Genomic DNA, 26,665 nt, shown 5'->3' on the forward strand with positions numbered 1-26,665 from the left:
GCCTGGGATGAGAATCCGCCAAGGAAGGAGGTGAGATGTATGATGCTAGCCTCCAGCCAGTGCTCAAGACATCCTCAGCATCTCCATCACTACCACTTACCACTATTTCCTCAGACCAGCGATATCAGCTCCACCAAGCACTCCTTTCTCAAATGTTTTTTTCCTGGAGTACCTCTCATATGCCAGGTATTGAATCAAGCACAGAGGGCACAATGACAAACAAGAGTGGTTGGTTCTTGCTATCAAGTGGGAGGCAGAGCAGTGAACACTTAAACATTGTATGCAGCAGGCAGTCTGTGGTGAGGGCCAGATTCACGGGTGTGTGAACTCTTTAGTCACCCAGAGCCCTGCACTCAGAGGGCCCGTGTTTGGTTTGATGGGCTGTCACTATCTTGAAATTCTGAAAAAATTTTGAACCAAGGGCCCTGTATTTTCATTCTGCCTGGGGCCCCATAAAAGACGTAGCCTGTCCTGGATACGATGAAAGACTTTTGCTCTCCAGCTTCCATTCTGCCTTTTCCCTTGAGTAACAACAGTGTGGTTTGGGGAACTGATCTACACTCAAGGTGCCTGAGTGACCTAAGGGTGACCTCATCCCCTGAGCCAATGAGTGTTTCAGGAATGAGCAGGTGACCCAGTTCAAGCCACTGAAACTCCATGGGAAGATTTCCAGAAGTTTCTGGAAAAAATTGTTATTTGTTTTTATTTTTATTTTTATTTTTTGAGACAGGGTTTCACTCTGTCCCCCAGGCTGGAGTGTAGTGGTGCAATTTTGGCTCACTGCAACTTCTGCTTCCTGTGTTCAAGCAATTCTCCTGTCTCAGCCTCCTAAGTAGCTGGGATGACAGGCATGCACCTGGCTTTTTTTTTTTTTTTTTTTTTTTTAAAGTAGAGATGGGGTTTCACCATGTTGGCCAGGCTGGTCTCAAACTCCTGACCTCAAGTGATCTGCCCACCTCAGCCTCCGAAAGTGCTAGGATTACAAGCATGAGCCACCATACCTCGCTATTCTTTTTTTTTTTTCTTTTCTTTTCCTTTTGAGACAAGAGTCTTACTCTGTTGCCCAGGCTGGAGTGCAATGGTGTGATCTCGGCTTACTGCAACCTCTGCCTCCCAGGATCAAGCGATTCTCCTGCCTCAGCCTCCCAAGTAGCTGGGATTACAGGTGCCTGCCACCACGCCTGGCTTATTTTTGTATTTTTAGTAGAGATGGGGTTTAACCATATTGGCCAGGCTTGTCTCAAACTCCTGACCTCAGGTGATCCACCTGCCTTGGCCTCCCAAAGTGCTGGGATTACAGGCGTGAGCCACCATACCCAGCCTGTTCTTTGTTTTTAATACTGAGCAATGGAAGCCAGTCTGTCTTGACCATTCAGTGAACAAGCACATGGTCCACAGTGCTGCTAGCAGCCACCCTACAACAAGGGGAAACTGGCCTGAGTATGGCAGAGCAAAACCAGGATGAGAATCTGGGTCCTTGATGATACTGCTGGTCTCTGGAGCAGCCAGCCCTGAGGCCCACCCTACCTCTGGGCTTCCTTTTATGTGTCACAATATATGTCCCAGTACTTGGTGTTAAGTTTTCTGCTAATTACAGCCAAAAGTATCTCCACTGACGCAGAATCAGATCAACCTCATTTTATAATAAATCTTGATTCTACCACTTACAGCAGTACATCTTTGGGGAAATCCCATTTTCTCTCCTCCACTAGAAAATGAAGGCAAGAAATTACACTGTATTAGACTGTAGTGAGTGTCAAAGGCTGTAATCTTAGTGAAGATGCCTGGACAGTGCCTGGCACATAGCAGGGGTTCACTCCGTGATAGGTATTATGATGATGATAATGTTCGGCCCTAACAGCTGTCTGCCACTGTGTTTCTGGTGATGAGTTGGTTAGGAGCTGAATTTCCCAACTGTAAGAAAAAAACAGCAGAAATCATTTTTTAAAAAGGTGTCTCTTGGCATAAATAGCAATGTATCACTATACTAATAGAATTTAAAGAATTTGACAAGCAAATTCAATCACTTTGTATGTTACAGAAGCAGTAAGTTGGTCAGTTGCCCTCTCGGAAATCTGGACATTCCCTGGTCACCCATAACATTGGGGCTTTCCTCTTTATGAATGCTAACTGCTAGGTTCACTTACACAGGCTGAGAGGGCAAAGCTGTGATTTTGCAAAATTAAAAGTAATTTCATACACGTCACCGCTGATACAAACCCTAGTTTCTTTCTGTTCTTATTTGAGTAACCTTCTAAATCTTAATTCTTATCCTGTATTCTAACTCTGATCTCTTGACATTTCCAGCTTTTTCCCCTTCTCTCCCAACAAAACAAAACAGAGCAAAGAGCGTCAACTGAGATTTGTGTGATTTCAGCTTCAGAGTTGGATGTCTGAGTGTAGAATAAATTCTAATTCACTGGTGATGGGAAATGCACAAATTCTATCCATCAGCATTTTAGCTATTTTTACTTAAAAAAAAAAAAGTGTGTATGTATGTGTGTGTGTGTGTTAGTAGTAGTAGTTTTCCTGTTGCCCATAACCTGGACCTCTTTGAGACTGGATAATTCCAAGCGAATCAGGAAATTCCAGTTGGGTATACTTGTGAGATGATTTTTGCCCTTCCTTATTTTCCATATTTTCAGGGAAGGAAAATGCAGGAGAGCTGGAGTCTGTTAGTGACTTGACAAACTCCCACCCAAGTGTGGGAGTTTCCTAAAGATGACACCAGTTGTGCTGGAAAGATTGTGAAAATGCAGATGCTTTCACACACTCCTCCATGTCAGTTTAAAAACTGTTTCCATATGGACCTCTCACATAGCCATGGGAGGAATGTTCCAGAAGGTCACCTCCCTGCCCTTCCATGGCTCCGTGCTACCCTCAAGTCCAAGTTTCTTAGCCTGGCATTCAAGGTCCATTAAGATCTAGTCCCTTTTACAGCCTTGTCAGTCACTGTATCCCTTATATTAAGGATCCTGTCCCAGCTACACTGAACCACTTAAAATTTCTCCAATAAGGCAAAGAAAAAAAAAAGCAATTAACAACTCCAAGAAAATAAATGAAGGCATGTACAAGAAAAGAGGAATAGTTACAGTGCACTATTTGGCTCAGGAGGAAAAGAAATAAAAAAAAAAAACAACCCCAAAGCCCATATATTACATAATTATATAACCAATGACTACCTATTTAACAAAAATGATTATAATATTATGATAGAGTTCTATCGGGGAGGGAAAACGAGAGAGAAGGTAGTGTGGGAATCTTCTTCTATTGCACAAAGTCAACAGATAATGTATAAAATTAATAAATGAAAAATAGCAGTACATGCATGTTATTTAGAAGCATGGAGGTAAATGGCAGAAGAAACAGGTAGAAGAGATTAGAGTTCCTGTCTCCTGGGGAGTGAGACTTGGGAGTGGGGAGGGATGGGGCAAAGAACTGACTTTTTTTTTTTTTTTTTTTGAGGCAGAGTCTTTCTCTGTCGCCCAGGCTGGAGTGCAGTGGCATGATCTCGGCTCACTGTCTCTGCCTCCCGGGTTCAAGCGATTCTCCTGCCTCAGCTTCCTAAGTAGCTGGGATTACAAGTGCATGCTACCACGCCTGGCTAATTTTTGTATTTTTAGTAGAAACGGGGTTTCACCATATTGGTCAGGCTGGTTTCAAACTCCTGACCTCATGATCCGCCCGCCTCGGCCTCCCAAAGTGATGGGATTACAGGCATGAACCACTATGCCTGGCCAGAAATGATATTTTTTATTATAAACCTTTTACTAAAATGTAACTTTTAAAATTTTGTACACATATCACTTTCATTTAGAAATAATTAAAAATAAAGGTGTTTTTTGTTTTTTTTTTTTTCTGCCACAGAGGCATAGCTTTAACATGAGATTTGACGTTAATATTATAGACACTTTGAAAAAGGACACAGTAAACAGAGCTGCAGGGTGGTATTTTACAGATCAAGATAACTTGTTTTCTAATGTGGTGAACACCAGTGATTAGGAGAACCATCTGGAATCCATCAGTGACATGGGCTTTTGAAGCTTTTAGAAATGTTTATTTACCTGGCTTTGCGTGATTTTCTAGGTTTGAGAGATAAAGATTAAAATCTTTATGATACTGTACATTTTTGTTGCTTGTTATAAAGCATTAATGCTGACCAAAATATGTTTTTTGTACAAACAATTAAAATGTTTTTCTTTGCTTGCTGTGCACTAATATTCAGTGAACTATTTGCTTGTAGTCCATGTATGAGCATGATGTTGGAATTCCTTCACATGGATTATTTTGCTGTATGTTTGGAGCTTGTTTCTGATGAATAATTTGCTTGCATGCATTGTGGCTACTACACAGGAACTGATTCAATGTTAAAATAGTTTGCTAGCTGCTGTGTGCCATTTTTTAACTGATATATTTTTGCTTTGTCTACATGGATTGCACAGCAATTTATTTCAGTTTATTTTCAAAGAAAAGGACCAATGATGTGTTATTTTTATATTAGAAAAAAATGCAGACAAAATTTGTAAGGAAAGTAGCTGGCTCTACTCCACCTCTTCTCTCATTTTTCTACTAAAGATAATTAAGCAGGTGTCAAGAAACATTAGAACATGGTTGCTAAGGGATGTAAATGAGAAAAAGTTTATACAGGTCAAAAATATAAAAGAAATATCTAGGGGATGGAATGGGACTTGAAGAGTGGCTAACAGAGGCTTTTCTTATAGAAGATGTTATTCAAAATAGAGGAGGTTTCGTACCTCCCTTTGCTCAGCGTCAGGCTGGCTCCATCTCAAAGCGCTTATTCAACCCAGACACACATGAATGACACTCATGCACCTGTGTTAAGGCAAAGGGCTCTTCACTTTGAAGCCCCAGAAGATGTGTGTAAAATTTTCTGCCAGTTTTGCTAACCATGTCCTTCAAGTCAGGAACCATGTCAAAACACAGAACCTGTCAGAGTTGGCACTCAACCAGGCTCCACTTTCTCCCTTCCATCCTAAAAGGAAGAAAAGCATCCTGTTCTCTCTCTCTCTCTCTCTCTTTTAATTACACTCAATCTAAAGCAATCCTTGGTGATAGCCACAGCTTCCATTTCAAACTTCCCGACAGCCCAAGGGTATGTTGTAGCCCACTAAGTCTGTCCTGCTGGGATCCCTTAAGCCTCTTCCAAGGAGACCACCAAACCCACATCTCCCTACTGCCTACTGGTTCCTGCCAACTAAAGACATAGTCCTGTGGTAGGGTCACTGTCTTCTGTGAAGCTGTCACCAACACCACCACCCATCCCTAGACTACCCCAGCAAGACCCCACCTTCCCCGTCTCCTTACTCTGCAGCTCTTTAAACAGAGCAGCCCCTGGGGGTCCCCGCTCTGACTACAGTCAGAATTTGTGTGCCCTGGAGCAGTTTCCTGGAAGGAGATTAGGAGGACCAGGGCTGTCCTACCCAGCTTGCTGGAAAGTTTTGAGAGGGCAATATCATACGTTAAGAAGCAAAAAATACACCGCCACCCCATGGTCTTAACACTACAGGTATATATAAAAGCCTGGAAGGAAAAACACCATTCTGCCACTAGTTCCTAAGGTAACAACTCTCAATATTTAAGTGTATAATAAAGCTAAATCAAAACAACAAGGAAATAGGTCAAAAATCTGCAAGGTGCTTGACGGAATAGATTCCACAGCCTTGGAATACACAAGAACTCACTATATAATTAAAAAGGGATAAAGTGGGGGGTTACAAGTCTGGGCTTTAGAATCAGATCCACATAGGTTCAAATTCCAACTCTTCCATTTGCTAGCTGTGTGACTTTGTACATATTATATCACTTTCAAAATCTCGTTTTTCTCACAATTAAACCTAGTTTATAATTATGTAATAAATTGTTGTAAGGATCAAATAACAAAATATAAGGGACTACCAAACAAGTACTGATTGGGTGGAGCAGGCTTTAAAGTGACATGGACCTGGATTGATCTAGGTGCCATCACTTACTAGTTGGAAAGTCTCATTTCACTTTTCTCATCTGTAAAAGGGAGTTAATGGCTACATTTATGAAAGGGGAGATCTGTGAAGGTGGCATGAGCCACTTCCTACAGTTTTGTGTCTGCATCTTGCAGAATGAAAAATGCACTGGCAGAATGAACGAGAGCAGAGTGAATTGTGAACCTCATGGCTGGGCCCGGAGTCTCTGGAAACCCACCCCATCTGTGCTCTGGCAGGTACCTCCCTGCACCTGCAGCTGGGCAGCTCACCATGCAGAGAAGGGAAGTCCATCTCACCCTCAGAATGCTCATTATCCACCCTTTGGCCCCATTTGCCTATAAATCTGGACCCATCAAAAGTTGCCTATAAATTCAGATCACCTTGCCTTCTGCTAGGATATTCCAGACACTCAAGGAGGGTGAACACGGCTGTCAGCTGAGGTTGAAATAGGACAAAGCAACAGCAATCAAACTGCTTCCATGTGCGGCAGGTAATTACAGAATCGGCTACATTACAGTGATTACGCATTGCCAAGGAGAAGTCAAAAGAAGTCTCCAGCAACTTCAGAGGTGGGAGGGGGAAAGTTTAATTAAACAGCTCTTTGCAACTGATTTAATCTCTCTCTCAGAAAAACTCACAGGTTCAGAAGAGAGACAAGAAGGAGAGAGGGCTAGGGAAGGGGAGCCAGGGAAATCCTCCTACAATGGGGCTGCCTAGGTCTTTAAATGGTTCTTGGGGACTATGTGATGAAATGGGAGCTGGTGGCCTTTATTATGGAAATGTAAGACTTAAGCTAAGGATCAGGGCCCCCGGGGGAGATGGTAAAGAGGGAACCTGGTTATAATGGTTTTTAATATCCTGCTGGGGCTGGGTCCACTTGCATAAATACAGCCAAGCCAAGCTTCAGGTGGCTGTAGATTTTCTCTTCAAGGATTTATTCTCTTGTGTCAAAAGTTCACCACCTCCAGACTCTGTCATTTTGGTGCAAAATGTGCCTTTTTTAGCCACCAAACATTGAAAACAAAGCCTTCTCTGCTGGGAGCCTATTTTACCAGCAAAAGTTTCTTTGAAGACTAATTAAATTAAGATTCTGGACAGAACAGAACCCGTTGCAATTGTGGAGTGGAGGACAGAGGACTGAACAATTTAAACTGGTTGGGGCAGCTCTGTGCCTCCGTCCTAAATGAATTTAGATTTTACCATGGGTGCTTTACAGAGAGGATGGGCTTCTGCAGACTACAGTTTGCTGCTGGGCTTGTGGTCCCCAAGGGAAAATGGTGCTCAGACTATAGTTAATGTCCTGGTTAAATGCTAAGCTTGTGACCTTGGGCAGCTTATAAAACTTTTGTGGGTCTCATTTTCCACATCAGTACAAGTGCCTACTTGCTCTGGGTACCTTACGTTATTTTGATATGATGGAGTAATATTGAGATTAAATGTGAATGACTTAGAAAGGAAGAGAAGCTAACTGATCAATGTTCCGAAAGCTCTGTTTATGCCATTATCCTACTCAGAAACCTTCTGTGGCTCCTCATTGTCCACTGAATATGGTCAAGTTTCCCCTTGATTAGAGAGTTAGCTGTAGTGTAGTAAAAAGGGAAAGGAACTTGGAGTTAGTCTTGCACACATAGGCAGGTCCCTCCACCTGAAACAGTTTTCCTCCCTTCTCCAAAGGGCTAAGTGTTACTCATCCATTAGCTGTGTATGATCTTGACAATGACTTATCCTATCTGAGCCTCGGTACGCTCACCTATAAATGAGGAAAATACAAAGCCTCAATGTCAGGATCCTGGGGAAGATGAAATTCACCCACCCATGTGAACTGGCCCGGGCCACAACGGGTTCTCAATGGAAGTTTGCTGAATGTGACAAAGGTCACACTGCAGATTACCAGGCAAAGGACAGGAAATCTTATCCAAAAAATTTTGATTGTAACCTCAAAGAACATTTCAGATATTTTAAAAAGTAAGCGGTGTGGATAAGAGCCCTTTCTTCTGACTGTGGCAATGATTAAAACCAGGCCCTGAGCGAAGAAAAATTCGACACACTCTAACCCTTCAGAGGCAGGAAGCTATCGTTAAAAGGTCATCTTTTGGGCCCAGACTTCATACGGTCCAGGGGAAGGGTTCCAAATGGTTATGCTTTTCATTTTGCTGTGTAGCCAAGAGGATTGAGAATCCACAGGGCCTCATCTGTTGTTCCTTAAGCAAACATCTAACGTAATTTGAAATTTCACTTCATCATGTTGATGGCCGCCAGCAACTCTTCCCCGGCCTGTTAACTCTCCCTTTTAGGTAGACTAGGGCACTTTTTGAGCAGCCAAAAAGGTGCCAGCTTGCTATGAATTCTCATGAGGAAAATTACAAAACAGGCTGTGGAGAAGCGCCCTGTCCACGATTTCCCCATGTGCCTTGCAAGGTTTCTCTCTATCTCTCTTTCTTTACCTCAAAGCCAGTATTTTTAAAAGACATGCTACGTCTGAGTCCTAACAGCAGGCCCATATTAAAAAGAAAGGATATCCACAGCCTTGAAAGGAGGCTCAGCAAGAAGGGAGTTGGCTGGGCCCTGCGGTTTGTCTGACTCTAAAATACACAGCCTAAAGCACTGGTGTTTTCAGTAGTTGAATGCAAAAGAGGTGCAGTAGAAAATAAGTGGTAGGTATAACATTTGCATCAAAGCATCTAAAAGTGAAGTCAGTAAATATTTACTTGCCACTGATCTCATAAGGAAGGAAACACCTTTATCAGCATCCACTGGCTTTTGGCAAATTGTCATCTTATTTAATCCTGACAAAATCAAGTGAAGTAGGTGTTATTGTTTCCGTGATAGAGTATCTGGTTAAGTGGCTGTCCTAGGCTCACTAAGCTGCTATGGGGTAGAGTCACAGTATGGAATGGTAAAGAGTACTAGTGGTTCTGAAATCAGACAGATCAGGATTTCCACCGGGGCTAGGTGTGAATTCAATTCTTTAGTGACCTTCAACCGGTTAATGAAACGCTGTGCTTTAGTTGCTTCATTTAAAAATGGCAATAAACCAGCTGCGGTGGTACATGCCTGTAGTCCCATCTACTTGGGAGACTGAGGCAGGAGGCTCACTTGAGCCTACGAATTTGAGGCTGCAGTGAGCCATGATTGCACCACTGCACTCCAGCCTGCGCCACAGAGCAAAGCTTCATCTCTAACAACAACAAAAAAAGGTAGTAATGGCTACTTCATAGGGTTATGGAAGGATTTCGCAGGCTTGGAAAGCACTTAATAGGCTGCCTGGCACATGGTAAACACTTGATAAATGTTAGCCATTGTTGTCATTACTGTGAAGTAACTAGATGGCATTGCTAGAGGACGTTCTCACTGTAGGCTTCAACTAAACTTCCTGTAGCTGTCTGTCAAAGTCCCAGATCTTTGCAAAACACAATAAACAAGTCAGAAAAACAACAATAACCCCCTCACCACCACCCCCAGGTTGTAGGAGCTCCAGCCCTATGAGATGATGGGCTAATTCCCCATGACAGGAGTTCTGCACATCAGTTCAGGGGACAGCAGATACAGGTCACTCAGTCTGATGATGCTGTGGCCTCCGATTTGCCCTCTGGTGGGAGATGGCTCCGTGAGCATGAGATGGGATTAGGGGGAGGCCAGAAGGGTTCTGGAAGTGTTCCGAGAAGATCTCTGACTACTCTCTGGATTATCTCACTTGATGGGGGGAGAGCTGGTATTGAAAAGGAAGCACTAACACTGATATGTGACCAAGCTAAGCTAAAAAATTCTCTGTTGCAGTTTCCTTATCTGCATAAACTGGGATGGGGAGACTTACTTTACTGCAGTGGTCCCCAACCTTTTTGGAACCAGGGGCCAGTCTCGTGGAAGACAATTTTTCCATGGACCAGTGGCAGGTGGGGATGGGGGTTTGGGATGAAACTGTTCCACCTCAGATCATCAGGCATTAGATTATCATAAGGAGCATGCAACACAGATCCCTCGCATGCGCAGTTCAAAATAGGGTTCGAGTTCCTATGAGAATCTAATGCCACTGCTGATCTGACAGGAGGCGGAGCTCAGGTGGTAATGCCTCCTGTCATCTCCTGCTGTGCGGCCTGGTTCCTAACAGGCCACGGTCCGGTACAGGTTCGCGGCCCAGGGTTGGGGACTCTTGCTTTACAGAACTGTTGGGCTGGAGTTCAATATCTTTGTCACAGAGCTGTTCCACAGGGGAGATTGATGTACCCTGGAGGCTGGGAGCAGGACCCGAACTCCGCTCCTGTTCTCCAGGCACCACATTCCACAGGCAGCACAACCTATAAATTTGAAGCTAGATTTGACTGTGGAATAGGCTTCCTGGCTGCATCTGAGGTAAAAGGCTGCCCAGTGCTTCTCCCTGGGACAAGTGAGAATCGGTTTTCTCATTGGTAAGGAGGGGATAATATCTCCTCTAAAGAGCTGAGGAGAGAAATAAAATAGAAATAATATAAAGGGCTTCACAGGGTAACTGGCACCCAGCTGGGGCTCAGGAAACGGCAGCAATAATTATTACAACACACGTGAAGGAGTGGGGAAATTAAAATGCTGCATAAACTCAACATATTATTATTAGTCTTCCTATATCTACTTCATAGATCCTCAATTAAGGCATAATTAAAGATTAGCTAAGGTTACAAGGTTGGCTGCCCACATTTTCATTCTTGGTTTGGTCTTCAGTGCTGCTTGTAACTTTTATTCAGGCCTCAGGCAAGACATAAAAATACACTCAAACACCCAGCCACGTTAAATGCCAATGAGATTCTGCAACATCTAAACCTGGAGAACACTGCTGCAGATTTGCTAAGTTTCAATCTCAGAAGCGTTCAGGAGGCCAAGGAGGTTCACTCTGGGGAGGCAGTGCAAGGTAGTTGCACTGGAAGGCAGCCAGCCACGTGTAAGCTGGGGGTCTCACTCGGCATCCCAGGACCTCTGTTTCTGTAGTGTGAGGGTAAGAATACCTGCCTCTGGAGAAGAAAGAACATATGTTGCTCCTGGCAGGTGCTCAATAAATGTGAGCACCTCTCTCCCCTTCTGTGCTTTATAAAGAGCTCAGGGCCTTATATTTGGCTATTTCTGTCCACCAACTGCAGATACAAATTAAAAATACCTTCCTGGGGAAAGGGGGGGACAAGAGGACAATTTCTCCTGGGGATTCTAGCACAAGGGTGCACTGGGAATTAGAGATACTGTTAGGAATTTTAAAATACCCCTCAAATGGGCAGTACTCAGGGCAGTATTTTTGCCAGGGAAAGGAGCATGGTCATCCAGTTGACAAAAATAAAGACCAATAAAGGGGGACTGAGGGAATGCTGCCTGGGGAGATCCTGCAGAAAGACAGAGTGGGGCTGTAGTCACAATATTGGGGCTTTGATGCAGGCTCTGTTTATTCACGCATTCATTTGTTCATCTTTCCCAATCCTAGAGAATCAGAGAGGCAATTAAACCTGACATGCTTATCTTAAAAGGAAGAAAAGGAACCATAAAACAAAGGCACAAACACAAACCCTCAGCAAGATCTCAGTTATTGTCCTGCATTGTTTTGCTATGTGATGAGCGAAGGATTCTCAGGGAAACATGAATCATGTGGGATCTTTCCCCAACTCTGCGTGTCTTGGGGACATCTCAGGTGTTCTCTAGGCCTTAGTTTCTTTATCTTTCACGGGTTAGACTGGCGGACCTGGAAGGTCCTTCCAGTACTAAAGCCTTGACTCTCTGAGTCTATGAAATCCACAGTGCTATTAGGAGTGCTTATGTACATCACAGAAAGGCATTCTCTCTTCCCAGAGTGAATTTAAAACAATTGCTTCACACGAGGTCAAATTTCATATACTTCAGGGATTCAGCCATTACCTAGAGCAAGCTCACCTGACCTGCTTTTATATTAGTTCATAAAGTAGGCGGTGGGAGATGTGTTAATAGTTTTCATGAGGTGCTATGGCCCAAGATCTGGAGATGATATGAATTATGCTTTGTGTTAAAGCTGTCTTTATTCTCCTGGGAGGAAGAAACTAGACATACTATATGCAAGTTTTTTTTATTTTTTATTTTTTTAGAGTAGAGGAACTTTTGATTTACTATGCAGGAGGGGGTTGTGTTTCATGACCAACACTTATTTTGGTTCTACTTCATTATTTCTGTGCATTTTGTGAGTGAGGAAGTATGCAACTTTTTTTTTTTTTTTTTTTTTTTTTGAGACGGAGTCTCGCTCTGTCGCCCAGGCCGGACTGCGGACTGCAGTGGCGCAATCTCGGCTCACTGCAAGCTCCGCTTCCCGGGTTCACGCCATTCTCCTGCCTCAGCCTCCCGAGTAGCTGGGACTACAGGCGCCCGCCAGCGCGCCCAGCTAATTTTCTGTATTTTTAGTAGAGACGGGGTTTCACCTTGTTAGCCAGGATGGTCTCGATCTCCTGACCTCATGATCCACCCGCCTCGGCCTCCCAAAGTGCTGGGATTACAGGCGTGAGCCACCGCGCCTGGCCGGAGGTATGCAACTTTTAAGAGTTTCTTGAACACTTGGAAAAAAGGAAGGGGAAGAAGGGCGCTAAACACCTATTAAGTTCCAGGCACCTTTTATTCCTTGTACTCCAATAACTTTACTCCAATAACTTATGAGATAGGTTATTGTACTCTGCCCATTTTACAGGTGAGGAAATGGGCTCAGAGAAATAAAGTAATTGTACCAAAGCTAATCGGCCAAATGAATCTGTTTAACTATACAGTTCCCACAGTTTGTGCAATTTTGGGTTGGGTTGGAAATGACCTAATGAGCTTGGGTAACAGGAAGCTGTCTGGGCCACAGAGTAAGGAACAGAGTATCAAATACACATTTAAGAAAGTTCAAAGTCATTGCTATGTTCTAGTGCTGTGTTATAATGCTGATAACAATTATACCAAGACATGCAGAAAAATATGAGGTAGGAACCATCAACTTGACATAAATTCCAAAGAAATATGTACTCTATTGAAGAAAATGGTTAACTTATTTTTAAAATCCCAGGCAGGAAGTTGAAGGAGCTGGATTCTAGTTTCGGTTTTGCAACCGTTGAATGGAGCCACCTTGAGCAGATCACCCAGTGTCCCTGAGCTAGCATTTCTTCCCCTTGAAATAATAGGGTTGTACAGTGAGATCTGTAAGGGCCCTCTGAGTGAAAGCTTCGTGATTCCATCTGTAAAATTCACTTAATGTAACAGTTCATTCCCCAGTGAGGGATAAATGAGGTGTTACAGGTCTGCCTTGTAAGTTTCATGCACACGTTTCATCTCCTTCAACTAGAAGGTGAGTTCTTGCAGGGCTGGAATGCATCTTATGGCACCCAGCACATGTCAATAACTGTTGAGTTAACTGGAAGAGTGAAAGAAGGAATGAGTCTTATCATTCCTTGTGCTAAAGAACATGGACTTGGGAAACAGGAAGATGTGCATTTTAATATAGCTTGAGTCTGAGCCTCACTTTCTTCATTTATAAAATGGGAGCAATATCACCTACCTCACTGGGTTGTTTACAGTTTATTATCATTGCCAAGTTCAGTGTTTTTATTGAAAGAAAGGCAAAAGAGAAAGAATAAATAAAGATCTTAAAGGGTGCAATTAACTCCTTAACTAATATCTTTATTAGACTAATGGCAGCTGTGTGCATGTACCTGTGTTCACTCAAGTATTTCTGAGGAACTGTTAACTGCAAAGTATAATGCTAATCACTGGAAAAGGGGCCATCAGAAAGAGTATTTACCAAGTACCTAAATATACTATGTGCCTAGCACTTTTCTGCACTAGCTATGGGAAGTAGGAACTGCTCTTCCCATACTGAGGATAAGAAAAGCAATGCTCAGAGAGGTTAACTAGCTAGCTGATGGTCAAACAACTTGTAGAAACCAGCAGATGTGACAAGATCAGAGGGTTTAATGAACTAAAATAAAATAGTGAATAACTTGTACATTTCAATAATCATCCTGTACTATTGCTAACGACAAGGTAGTGTGTTAGAATGAGAAGGTGGGTGGGGAAGGAGGAGAGGCTGCCCTAAGTAATTATAGCACATAGGTCAAAATCAAGGTGGGGTTCACTTATAAGGGGGGTAAGGAACTTAAAACTACATGTATTTGTACTGAAATGCAAAAAAGGGTTAATTAAGGAACTTGATTGAAAAGTGACACTTAAAGAATCCTTCAAAAATGCTTCCCTTCTCAGAAACACATCAAATTATTTATCATTATTGCAATTAAAAAAAATTGGGTTGGAAATTTGTCCTAGGCATCTGTGATGTTATTGTTTCTTTGCTGTTAACAAACCCACAGAAGAGCCTTCTGTGCATGGGGAAGGGCAGTGATCCTGGAGGTTCAGAAAGCTGGGGAAGGAAAGAGAGGGTCTGGTAGATACCCACTCTCCCAGTGCAAAGGGTTCCATATGCATTTAGGCCATGGTTTCTAGTTTGCAGGATATAGAAAGAGAGATCGTGCTACAAATACCTCTCCATTTCAGTGCCAGCATGTGTTTCCCAGAGGGTGCTTTTCTGAACACAAGTCCTGTGAGAAGTTCCTGAGAAGGTTCCATGTTCAAAAAGGTTTGGGAAACCCTGCATATCGTCTCTTCTGCTTAGACAATCACAGTGCACATTAGCTAACAAGTTAATGCTGCTGAGAACTCCTGTAGCAAGGAATCTCTTCCACCTTAACATTTCCCAAATGTATTTGTCCATGGAACCCCTATTTCAAATAGCTCCTATTAACAACCTGCAGAGCTAGTTCTCTTAGGTGTTAAATAAAATTTATAGGAGGCCATTGGTTTGGACTGAGCTCTTGCACTAGGCCCAACAGAGCAAACCAAAATGGAGTCACTCATGCAGAAATTCCACTACCAAGCCAAAACGAAGCTGTTCATCTGGCCTTCTAAGAAATCAGGAGAGAGAGATGATAGTCATATTCCCAAACAGGCCAGTTTTAGCCAGCATGATAAGGAAGCCCCCTCTGCTGTAATTTAAACAACGAATGCACTTTTTGGTCTCTGTTTCTGTTTTCCTTTTCTGTCTACAAAGCTAACCTCCTCTGCTCAGCTTATTGGAAAATGAGTATTGCCCAATTCTAGAATCCCAAAAAAAGCCAATTAAGATCTAAATTTGTTGTAATTTCATCTTTTGACATAGGGATACTTTTAAAGATCATCCTTTCCCACCGAGGTTATTTTAACAACCCCCAGGCTCACTTCTCTATAATCATCCTTCACCCTGATAATTGAGTGATTGTTCTAGTAGGAAATCTGACTATGTTTGGGTCTTAATCAAAAACTTTCCATGGCTTCACACTATCTACAGAATAAAGTGTGAACTCTTTAGCCTGATATTCAAGATTCTTCCTGCTGCAGCTTTAAATGACAACCCCATGCTACTCCTTTCTATATTCTGCCTGCTGGCACCCTGCCATTCACCCTAGGTGCTGGCCTTTTTTATTTTGAAATAATTTTAGATTCACCTAAAACTTGCAAAAATAGTACAAAGAGTTCCTATGCACTTTTCACCCAGCATCTCTCAGTGATAACATCCAGCCTTTTCCAAATGATAATCATCATTTACCACTCAGAGCATCTATCTTAAGGAACACGTCCATGTTTGATTCTTCTCTGCATTCCTCCTAGCACCTGGCACTAAGTACAGATCAACAAAGTATAGGCTCCGTGGTGCCCAGATTTGCATTTCATAGTCAATTTTTTTTTAAGTTGAGAACAAAAATAACAAAAGAAAAATATGCCCTCTACTTATCATTACTTCATTGAAAAAATAATATTTTAATAGGAAGGGCAATGTTAGAGTAAGAAACAATCCTGATGAACAAGTGCCTACATTATTCTGCTCGTCTCATTTGTTGCAAGCAGAACCCTTGTGGCCAAGCAGAGCAGACCATCATCTGGTAGGCCAAAAGCTTGGCAAACAAACCAAGGAGGGTTACATTGGCTTTCTAGCACTTTGTCAGATTTATGGTGAGGGGTTTGGGGACTTGTATACTAAATGCAACTCCAAACAAGCTTGGAGTATAAGCACTTATAGCATGGTCACACAAGACTTTCCTTTGTTCTTACAGCAAAAACAGAAGAGATTTGGACTAACGAAGCCCAGAAATTGCATGCAAGACCAAAAGTCCATTTGGAATTCCCAAATCTCTCTTCTGGTGGTAACACCTTTTCTTGGTCTGGGTAGTAAACACATTTCTGTGCACATACAGCTCCCATCTGGGGGCTTGATTCCACACGGCTGCAGTGACTTTCTACAAGCAGATAAGGGTAATGGAAATCACACATTTCTGTGGCCTCCCGTTGTTTCCTTTCTCCTTCTCTGCTACTTCAGCTGGAACGGAGATGAATTTTCCTGCAACACTCAGTCTCCCGAGGAACACTTCTCTCTCCACATACGGCTGAGCTTTTCACAGTGTTTCAGAAGCCCAGAATGATCTTTCTCCAAGGCAGAGCTGACCATGTCAGAGCTCCTTGATGGCTCACTGCTGCCTAATATAATCACGCTCAAACTTTACAGCGTGATCTTCTATGCCCTTCATAAACTGGCCCCGAAGGCCCTTCTAGCTTCTCACTGGGGAGGAAGGAACATGGTATTAGCAATTTCACAACAATGTCTTGTTCTTTCATTCCTTGATATCTTTGTGCATGGTATTGCCTGTACCCAAAAAACTCTTTCTTGCTCTGTCCACTTGGAGAACTCACATTTATCCTGAAAGAATTAGCAGATGTACCAATTCTTCGCTGCAGCCTTCTTGACCCCCACATAGAGAATTAATCTCTCCATTCTCTATGTTCCCATAGCAGCCTGTACAAACTATTAGTAAAATGGGTTAAAAGCCACCTACTTCATGGAACTGCAATGTTTAAGTGCAAGTACACATAAAGCCCTTAGAACAATCCATAGCACTTAACAAATGTGTAGGTATAATCACTGTTATTGTTGTTAAAAACAACGTATTTTTGTTATCTGCTTGTATATTTTTAAACAAGTTAGGCTATGAGCTCATGAAGGACAGAGACTAGGTTCTTCAGATAAATCTCTTATCCCCAGCACCTAGCACAATGCTAGCTATATAGTAGGAGTGAAATAAATTAATTTGTAAGAAATTAATTTCCTCTAGACTCTAAAGTAACATGTTTTCCCTAGAAAATATATAGAAGAAAAAAGTACAAAGGAAAAAAATGTATAAAAGAAAAAAGTACAAAGGAAAAAAAACAAAACCCAGTCACAGCTACAACAGTAATAACTGCTGTTAATGCTCCCTGGTATATATACATTTCCTCCTAGTCTTTTCTTTTACATATTTAAGCATATGTTTATCAAATTAGGTTCATACTGTATATACAGTTTATATCCAATCTCCACTTAACATTATACTATGAGAATTTTATCTTTCAAATATTATTTGAAAACATGATTTTAATGACTACCTAAAATTTCATCAAATGGACAGAAGATGTTATTTTACCAACCTCCTACTATTAGACATCTAAGTCATTTTCAGTTTTTCTGTTTTTGGAAATATTTCTTGACTTGAATCATAAGTTCTGCCAAGGGGTAGGCTAAGTCCCACATTAAACAGAGGACCCCCATCCCCACTTAGGAGTGATGATGGTCTGGTCTAGAAGAGCAGAGGACGAATTCCTCTTTCCTGGGGATGGTTTAAGTGTCTCTTGGAAGGACTAGCAGACATTCACGGATGAGCTCACTCAAGAGGCTGACAGGGCAGCAGGCTCAGACTGAAGTCAGTCTCTTCTTCCTCCCAGCCCCCCTCCATTCTCCATCCCATTAACATTCCTCCTGGGAGATGGCAGTACCAAAGGACAAACAGGCATTGTTGGGACTCAAGGACCCTGAGAATGGGCCCTGTAACCTGAGCCCCACTGGCTTGGATATGCTTGGGCAGGTCACCCTGGGGATGCCATGGTGACAGATGAAAGTGCATCTCAGGGCCTGGATTGTGTTTCCAGGGCACAGGTGTGGGGAGATTATCTTTCTGACAAGCCAAGCACTTATCCCAATCTCTACAGCTGCTTTCTCTTCTCTCCCTGGTCCTAGGCCTACCAGAAATAGCACCCTCAAGCCATTCTCTGTTAAAGCCAAGAGCTGTCTTCACCTGAGCCTTTTTGCCTGAAAAGTTACCAAAAGAACCTGACAAATTGCCTCACTTTGTCAAGTGAAAGAGTGAACAAACATCCTGCATTTTGAATGCCCAGGCAGGCATGTCCCCCGCAAGCCAATGGAGCCTTAAAGCTCTTCCAGGGAGCTCACAGCCTGGCGGGTGCAAAGACTGTCAGCTCTAGCACCGGATCCCCGTGGGCTTGACACTTGCTAGCTGCCTGACCTTTGGCAAATTGCATGATCTCTCTGAGCCTCGGTTGCCTCACTTGTGAAAAGAGGACAATGCTGGTGTCTTAGAACTGCTGTGAAGATGAAATGAGACCAGAGACATAAAAGCACTTAGCACCTTACGTGCTTAGCAAAGGTGTTCCTGTGGAAAACTGCAGAGCTGTGAAGGCACCAGGTGTGTTTGAGAAACAGAAAGTGGCACATGGGGCTGGTGGGTGGGCCTATAGGTGAAGGCCTAGGGACTTGCCTAAAGCATTTGGCCAAGCTGCCGAGGGAGGGTGGGGGAAGGGGTGCCCAAGTAGGGAAAGGCTGTTCTGTTCAGGCCTCAGCAACACCCATTCAGATGTGACTTGGAAGCAGCCTGACCTCTAGGCTCGGAGGCAGGAAGGCAAGCCCTGGCACGGCGCCGGGGCGGGGTGGGGTTGGGGGGGTGTCCCACAAGCAGCAGGTGCTGGGGCAGGGCAGATGTGGGAACAGGAACCCCTTGGCTCTCAGCGCCCACCCCAGCGTGTTGTAGAATCCAGAGCAGACTCTCCCTGCAGCCCGAGGCTGCCTGGACTCACTCTCACCTCACAAAGCTGTCCCTGAAATGGGCAGAGAGCTGACTCTGACACAACACAGGCTGCATTCTTGGCCTGTCTGTAATCAGATTTCTCTTTTGTAAGATTCAACATTTTCTGAGCACCTACTGTGTGCCAGGCACTTTTGTACACAGGCTCTCTTTGGCTCCCATGACAGTCCTGGGGAACTATGGGGCTAGACACACTGAGGACAGCATGTAGTGCTGTGGTGGACCAGGGCTCACTGCTGGCTTTCCTCTGGGGCAGGGGTGTCCAATCTTTTGGCTTTCCCTGGGCCATACTGGAAGAAAAATTGTCTTGGGCCACACATAAAATACATTAACACTAATGATAGCTGATGAGCTAAAAAAAAAAAAAAAAAATCACTTCTGGGTGTGGTGGCTCATGCCTGTAATCCCAGCACTTTGGGAGGCCAAGTTGGGTAGATGGCCTGAGCTCAGGAGTTTGAGACCAGCCTGGTGCAACATGGTGAAACCCATCTCTACAAAATACACCAAAAAAAAAAAAAAAAAAAAAAAAAAAAAAAAAAAAAAAAAGCTGGGCATGGTGGCATGCGCCTGTAGTTCTAATAATTGGATGGCTGAGTGGGAGGATCACCTGAGCCTGGGAGGTCAAGGCTGCAGTGAGCTGAGATCATGCCACTGCACTCCAGCCTGGGTGATAGCACAAGACCCTGTCTCAAAAAAAAAAAAAAAAATTGCAAATAAGGTCTCATAATTTTTTAAGAAAGTTGACTAATTTGTGTTGGGCCACATTCAAAAGCCGTCCGGGGCTGCAGGCGGCCTGTGGGCCAAGGGTTGGACAAGTTTGCTCTAGGGCAAAGGCTGACCGACCTCCCACTCCTCTGAGCCCGTAGTCATTCCTAAGTGCAAGCTCTGTGGGCAACACGAGACAGAATCTATCCCAGAGGAGCCAGTGGGCAAAAGGATGGTCTTGTTCTTGTGCCTTGTATGTGCCAGGCTTCCTGCTTAACTTTTCACAAATACTACCTCATTTGCCTCCCTCTCCCCCTCCTACGTAAAATTTATTATCCTTATTTCATGACAGACAAAAAAAAAAAAAAAAAGGCTCAGTGAGGGAGGTAAATTGCCCAAATGCTCTGCGGTCACAAATTGGAGAAATGGTGATCTGAAGCCAGTTCTGGCTGACTCCAAAGCCTGTGCCCTTCCACGGTACTGTGTCTTTCCAAGAGAAGCCCTGTCAGGCCGGAAGTGCTCAGATTTTCAAATCCAATGAAACTCTCCCTCAAGAGTCGGTGCATGGTCCTGCGAGGGTCTTTAGGACAGACTCTTTCTCCCTAGCCCAGAAATGTGCATCTGCTATTAGCTCCAGAGAAGAGGACTTCAACTCGATATCCTTAATGAATGTGCACCTTTGAGACAAGACGTGCTGAGTTTGCTCAGACAGCAAACGCAGTCTGTAGGTGGCAACCCCCAAGCTAGGGCAGGAGGCCCTGGAGGAAGGGGGAGATTTCACACCCCAACTTCTAGGAAATTTTCCAGTCCTAAAGGAAGTATGTTCTGAAGCTTGAGTTATGTTCCAAGAAGGATCTTGACTCTTGGAAGAAGTGAGACAGAAGAAAAAAAGGACGCCTTGGTGTGGGGGCAAGGGGTGGGCGTCAGTGTGAGCAGCAGACTCTTATCCTGAGGAATGTGGAGAGTGGAAATGTCTGACCCATTGTGCAAATGAGCAGGAAACAAGTCTGGTCCCTTCCTACCCTCTGCCCCTCTTTATATATTACTTTCTCTGCTTCACCAGGAGAAATTCACATTCAACAAATACACATACATCATTTAATTGCCTGTCATAAATTCTCATCTGTCCAGAGGGATAGAAATTTTCAAGGCATATTTAAAAACCATTTTTTTTTCTAGTAGGGAAATGTACCTAGATCTTTAGTGATACTGTAGACAACCTGTTTGAAAATCTTTATAATCCAGGTGTGCTACTTTAATGTGCAAAAATACACCGTCAAGAATCTTGATGACAAAATCAGAATAAATTAAAAGTAGTATGTGGTAAATAAATGTTAGTTTTCTCCATCTCCTATTCTGTACTTAAAATGCTTCTATTTATTAAAGATTCTATTTACCATGTATTTTAGTAACAACAAATTCTGTTTGGGTATAGCCTTTTGGGAAAACGCCTGTTGCACAAAGGTGTGTGTATAACGTGCCTGCCTCACTGCAGAGTGCGTGGTGAGGACTGCGTTTCTGTTCCCCACCTTGGGAGCACTCATACTTTCACATGCCTTATCTCACAGAGGCCATATGACAGGCTAAAGAGGCCACCAGAGCAGCTGGTTTTCTTCTTTCCTTAGAGATAAGCAAAGTGAGGGCCAAGAAGGCAGAGTGACTCTCCAGTGTCATCACTAGTGAGAGGCAGAACTGGGACTGGAAGCAGAAATCTGCCTGGGATGAACTAGCTGACATGTGGTGACTCCAGTGAAAATGCTCAACCTCTGCAGAAGCAGTTTGGGGTTCGTAGTCCTGACTCAGGCAGAAAAAAAAAACAAAGAACCTGATTCTGGTCCACACTTTCCTACCCATCCCTAGTACGTTTGCCAAAAGAAAAAGGCAATGATGAAGATCATTTTCCCTACCTGACCACATGTCTGGGAACCTAGGCTCTGAAAAAACCAGGTTGCCTTATCTGAAGGAGCTGCCTTACTTTGAAACAACAAATTGAAGTTTCTTCTCATCCTCAGTGTCCTCCCAGCCCATCAAATCCCTAGTAGCTTGAAGGGCTAGGCTAAGAGACAGCTTCAAAAGGGCAGAAATCACAGTGCATTTTTATCATCTATTTGAAGATCTGCAGGGCAAGGCTTTTGATGTCAGCTGGCTTCCCTTGGTCTGTCATTCCTGGTGCCCAAGAACAATACTTGAGAGACAGGTCTGGATATCAGGAGCGTTCCTGCTCTTCTCAGATTCGGTACTAATTGTAGCTCTGTTCATTAAATGCTTTCTATTTGCTAGGTACTGGGCTAAGAGCTTTTCACAAAGCACACTGTATCTTCACTTCCCTTTGCTGGGTCAGTATTATTATGCCTTATTTTACAGATGAAACCACTGAGGCTCAGAATGGATTACTAATCTGTCTGGGTCACTCTGCCAGTAAGTGGCATGGCTGGGATTTGAATTGAGGTCTGTCTGACTTCAAAGCTTCTCCCGCCCTTCTACTAAAAACTCTTAATAAAAGGATAAAATCAAATTATTTTCCTGTGATTTTCCACATTATTTCTCTTCTATTAAGGACTGTACTTTGGCTATCTTTTAGATGAAAGCAAGAGTAATTTTGGAAAAACTTCTGTTCATAATCAAAACAACGATTCTCTATAGAGATCTACGTAAGGGCATTCCTTGTTTTATTTCACTTTGCTGTAGCGCATTTTGCAGATACCATATTTTTACAAATTGAAGGTTTGTGGCAATCCTGAGTCAAGCAAGCCCATTGGTGCCATTTTTCCAACAGCACATGCCCACCTCATGTTTCTGTTTCTCATTTTGGTAATTGTTGTAACATTTCAAATGTTTAAACTATTACTATCTCTGTTATGGTGATCTGTGATCAGTGATCTTTGGTGTTACTATTGTAATTGTTCTGAGATGCCACAAACTGTGTCTGGTGTAAGATGGCAAACCTAGTGATAAAGGTTTGTGTTCTGACTGCTCCACTGACTGGCCATTCCCTGTCTTTCTTCCTCTCCTCCGGCCTTTCTATTCCCTGAGACATAATGATATTGAAATTAGGCCAATTAATAACCCTACAATGGCCAAGTGAAAGAAAGAGTTGTGTGCCTCTCACTTTAAATCTAAAGCTAGAAATAATTAAATTCAGTGAGGAAGTCATGTCAGAAGCTGAGACAGGCTGAAGGCTAGGTCTCTTGAGCCAAAGAGTTAGCCACATTGTGAATGCAAAGGAAAAGTTCTTGAAGGAAATGAAAATTGCGACTCCATTGAACACACAAATGATAAGAAGGCAAAACAGCCTTTTTGCTGTTTTATGTTTTATGGAGAAAGTTTTAGTGGTCTGGATAAAAGACCAAACCAGCCACAACACTCCCTTAAACCAAAGCCTAATCCAGAGCAAAGGCCCTAACTCTTTTCAATTCTGTGAAGTCTGAGAGAGACAAGGAAGCTGTCTAAGAAAAGTTTCAAGCAAGCAGAGGTTGGTTCATGAGGTTTAAGGAAAGAAGCAGCCTCCATAACATAAAAGTGCAAGGTGAAGCAGCACGTGCTGATGGGAGAAACTGCAGCAAGTTATCCAGAAAATCTAGCTAAGATTGTTGATGAAGGTGGCTACACTAAACAGCAGTTTTTCAACATAGACAAAACAGCCTTCTATTGGAAGAAGATGTCATCTAGGACTTTCATAGTTAGAGAGGAAAAGTCAATGCTTGGCTTGAAGCTTCAAAGGATAGGCTGACTCTCTTGTCAGGGGCTAATGCAGCTGGTGAGTTGAAGTTGAAGGCAGTGCTCATTTATCATTCCCAAAATCCCAGTGCCCTTAAGAATGATGCTAAATCTACTCTGCCTGTGCTCTTTAAATGTAATGACAAAGACTGGATGATGGCACATCTGTTTACAGCATGGTTTACTGAATGTTTTAAGCCCATTGTTGAGAGCTACTGCTCAGAAGAAAAGACTTCTTTTAAAATATTACCACTTACTGACAATGTACCTGGTCACCCAAGAGCTCTGATGGAGATAACTAAGGAGATGAATGTTGTTTTCATGCCTGCTCATGTAACACCCATTCTTCAGCTCGTGGATCAAAAAGTAATTTTGACTTTCAAATCGTATTGTTTAAGAAACACATTTTATAAGACTATAGCTGCCATAGATAGTGATTCCTCTGATGGATCTGGGCAAAGCAAATTGAAAACTTTCTGGAAAGGATTTACCAATCTAAATACCATTAAGAATGCTCAAGATTCATAGGAGAGGGGTGAAATATTAACAAGAGTTTGGAAGAAACTGATTCCAGCTCTCACGGGTGACTTTGAGAAATTCAGGACTTCAGTGGAGGAAGTAACTGCAGGTGTGTTGGTAGTAGCAAGAAAAATAGAAGTGGAGCCTCAAGATGTAACTGAATTGCTGCCATCTCATGATAAAACTTTTATGGATGAGGAGTTGCTTCTTATGGATGAGCAAAGAGAGTGGTTTCTTGTGATGGAAACTACTCTTGATGAAGATGCTGTGAACATTGTTGAAATGACTGCAAAGAATTTAGAATATCATATCAACATAGTTGATAAGGCAGAAGCAGGGTTTGAGAGGACCGACTCCAGTTTTGAAAGAAATTCTACTGTGGGTAAAATGCTGTCAAACAACATTCCATTGTACAGAGAAATCTTTCAGGAAAGGAAGAATCGATACATGAGGCAAACTTCATTGTTTACAGAGTACCCACCGTGTGCACTGGTCTCACGTACACAGTGACCACACACCTGTATGGTCTGGATAACCCTGTAATAAATATTGTCTATAAATAACCAAGAGGCTGAAGCTTAGAGAGGGGACTCAACTTGCCCAAGGCCAGACAGCTTCAAGGCTCAGTTTCAGAAACCAAGACTCCCTGGTCACAACAGAACCCTCCAACTACAGGATGCAGCAGCTTCTGTGTGTGACTGGATTGTGGTCTAGGCTTGAGGTAGGGAGTGAGGTGGGGACAGGGTGTGTGGGGACCTGGAAAAGCAGAAGGAGACAGACAAGACTTTATTCCCAAACACTGCCTCCTCAGAAAACTTTAAAAAGAGAAGTTTACCTTTGCAATCTGGAGGAGGTTTTCATGTTTCAGCTCATGCTGAATTGTTTTATGCCTTAGCTATAAACCTCCGACAGAGAGAGTGCGGGGGCAAGGCTGACCCAACTTTAAGTATGGCTGTGCTGCTGTAAAGCTCAGGTTACGAGGATCACTTCTGGTGCCAAGGCAGTTTAACAAGTATGAATGTGCATAATTCATTCCAGTTGTCCTGCCTCGGCACAGAAGGGCTATTTCTGGGGTGGAGCTCCCTACACTTCTGCCAATGTGGTTCCCATTACTGGATCCGGTGCCTTGCTGAAGTTCCCTCCATGCCCAGGAAGGGCCTGTTTTATCACAACTGCCAAACCATCGGTTCTCTGTAAAGGTTTGGAGGGGTTCTGTATTCCAAGAGGCGAAGTCAATGCTTGGTGTAAAGCATTGCTTGGTTGTGAGGGTGGGCTCTCATGAAAAAAAGCACCCAATCTCACCCGTCCCAAGAAATCTTTCCAAAACCCAATTGCTATTGTCCAGTCTCTAGCCAATCTAAGTACAGGCACTCCCATTTTCTATTTTGAAAAATCTCAACCCTAAGGAAAAGTTGAAAGAATAGTGCAGAAAAGCCCATATACTCTTCATCTAAATCTGTCAGTTAATATATTGCCACATTACTTCATCTCGATGCATAAAAAGTTTTTCTGAATCATCTGAAAGTTGTAGACTTCAGTACACTTTATATCAGCACACATCTCCTAAGAATAAGAGCATTCTATCATCTAACCACAATATGACTATTAATGAATAATTATTCCATATCACCTAACATACATACTATAGTTTAAAATTTCTCCAATTCTTCCCAACTGTCTTTTTTTTTTTTTTTTTGAGACGGAGTCTTGCTCTGTTGCCCAGGCTGGAATGCAGTGGCAGTGATCTCGGCTCACTGCAAGCTCCGTCTCCCGGGTTCATGCCAGTCTCCTGCCTTAGCCTCCCAGTAGCTGGACTACAGGCACCCGCCACCGCGCCTGGCTAATTTTTGTATTTTTAGTAGAGATGGGGTCTCACAGTGTTAGCCAGGATGGTCTCGATCTCCTGACCTCGTGATCTGCCTGCCTTGGCCTCCCAAAGTGCTGGGATTACAGGCGTGAGCCACTGCGCCCGGCCCCCAACTGTCTTTTTTATAGCATTTAGAAAAACAGGATTCAATCACTTGTAAGAGTCAAGTTTTTGGCTGATTTCTTTAGTCTCTTTTAATCTACCAGAGCCTCCTACCCACCCAAATACTCATCAGTCCTTTTGTTCATGGTATTAGCCTTTTTGAAAGTCCAGGCCAGTTATTCTGTAAAATGTCCTGCATTCTGGATGTGTCTGATTGTTTTCTCATAATTGGATTCAGGTTACATGTTTTTGGCAAGTGTACCTCATGTGTGATGAGACGTACATCTTACTGCGTCATATTAGGATGGCTCACTAATGGAGTGCTAAGTTTGGTCACTTGGTTAAGGTGGTGATTCCTAATCTCCCCACTATAAAGTAACTCTTTTCCCTTTGTAATTAGTAAGTAATTTGTGACACAAAGCCCAGTCTCTTTAGATCATTTACTTAAACTGCCTCTGCCAGCTCCCCTCCCATCTATCCTCCTCTGGTTTTAGCCTCCACATTCTGAAAATGCCCTTACCAAAGTCGCCAGTGGTCACATGGATGCCAAACTCAATAGGCATTTTCATATTTGCGTTTTGAACCCTCAGCAGGACTGGATGTTAATGCTCAGGCCCTTCCTTGAGGGCAGGAGCACTGTCTTATATATGTCAGTACTCTAGGGACCAGCTCAGTATTTGACACACAGTAGGTGTGCTAGAAATCTTTGTGTAATGAATAAATGAATACATACATTGAGAGGAAGTCAAGATTGGGAATCAGAAGGCGTGGATTTGAATCCCAGCTCTGCAACTTTCCATAAAATAAAAGGGTTGATCTAAATCAGTGGGTTT

At 43.0% G+C, this 26,665-nt stretch overlaps 1 protein-coding gene across 9 annotated transcripts in view, besides 2 other annotated features; it reads right to left on the reverse strand.

The window, feature by feature from the left end:
• The window catches only part of TENM4 (teneurin transmembrane protein 4), a 788,202-nt gene that overhangs the window by 270,004 nt on the left and 491,533 nt on the right, over positions 1–26,665 (reverse strand). The gene's annotated exons all lie outside the window — the stretch shown is intronic.
• Positions 5,710–6,577: an enhancer, noted in NCBI's record as "OCT4-NANOG-H3K27ac-H3K4me1 hESC enhancer chr11:78639587-78640454 (GRCh37/hg19 assembly coordinates)". NCBI's record gives its function as "activates a minimal SCP1, AML or CMV promoter by ChIP-STARR-seq in naive H9 embryonic stem cells {active_cell/tissue: H9 hESC(naive)}" and the evidence as "EXISTENCE:reporter gene assay evidence [ECO:0000049][PMID:30033119]".
• Positions 6,578–7,445: an enhancer, noted in NCBI's record as "OCT4-NANOG-H3K27ac-H3K4me1 hESC enhancer chr11:78640455-78641322 (GRCh37/hg19 assembly coordinates)". NCBI's record gives its function as "activates a minimal SCP1, AML or CMV promoter by ChIP-STARR-seq in naive H9 embryonic stem cells {active_cell/tissue: H9 hESC(naive)}" and the evidence as "EXISTENCE:reporter gene assay evidence [ECO:0000049][PMID:30033119]".

This window comes from Homo sapiens, chromosome 11 (assembly GCF_000001405.40).
Source record: "Homo sapiens chromosome 11, GRCh38.p14 Primary Assembly".
Lineage (NCBI taxonomy): Eukaryota > Metazoa > Chordata > Mammalia > Primates > Hominidae > Homo > Homo sapiens.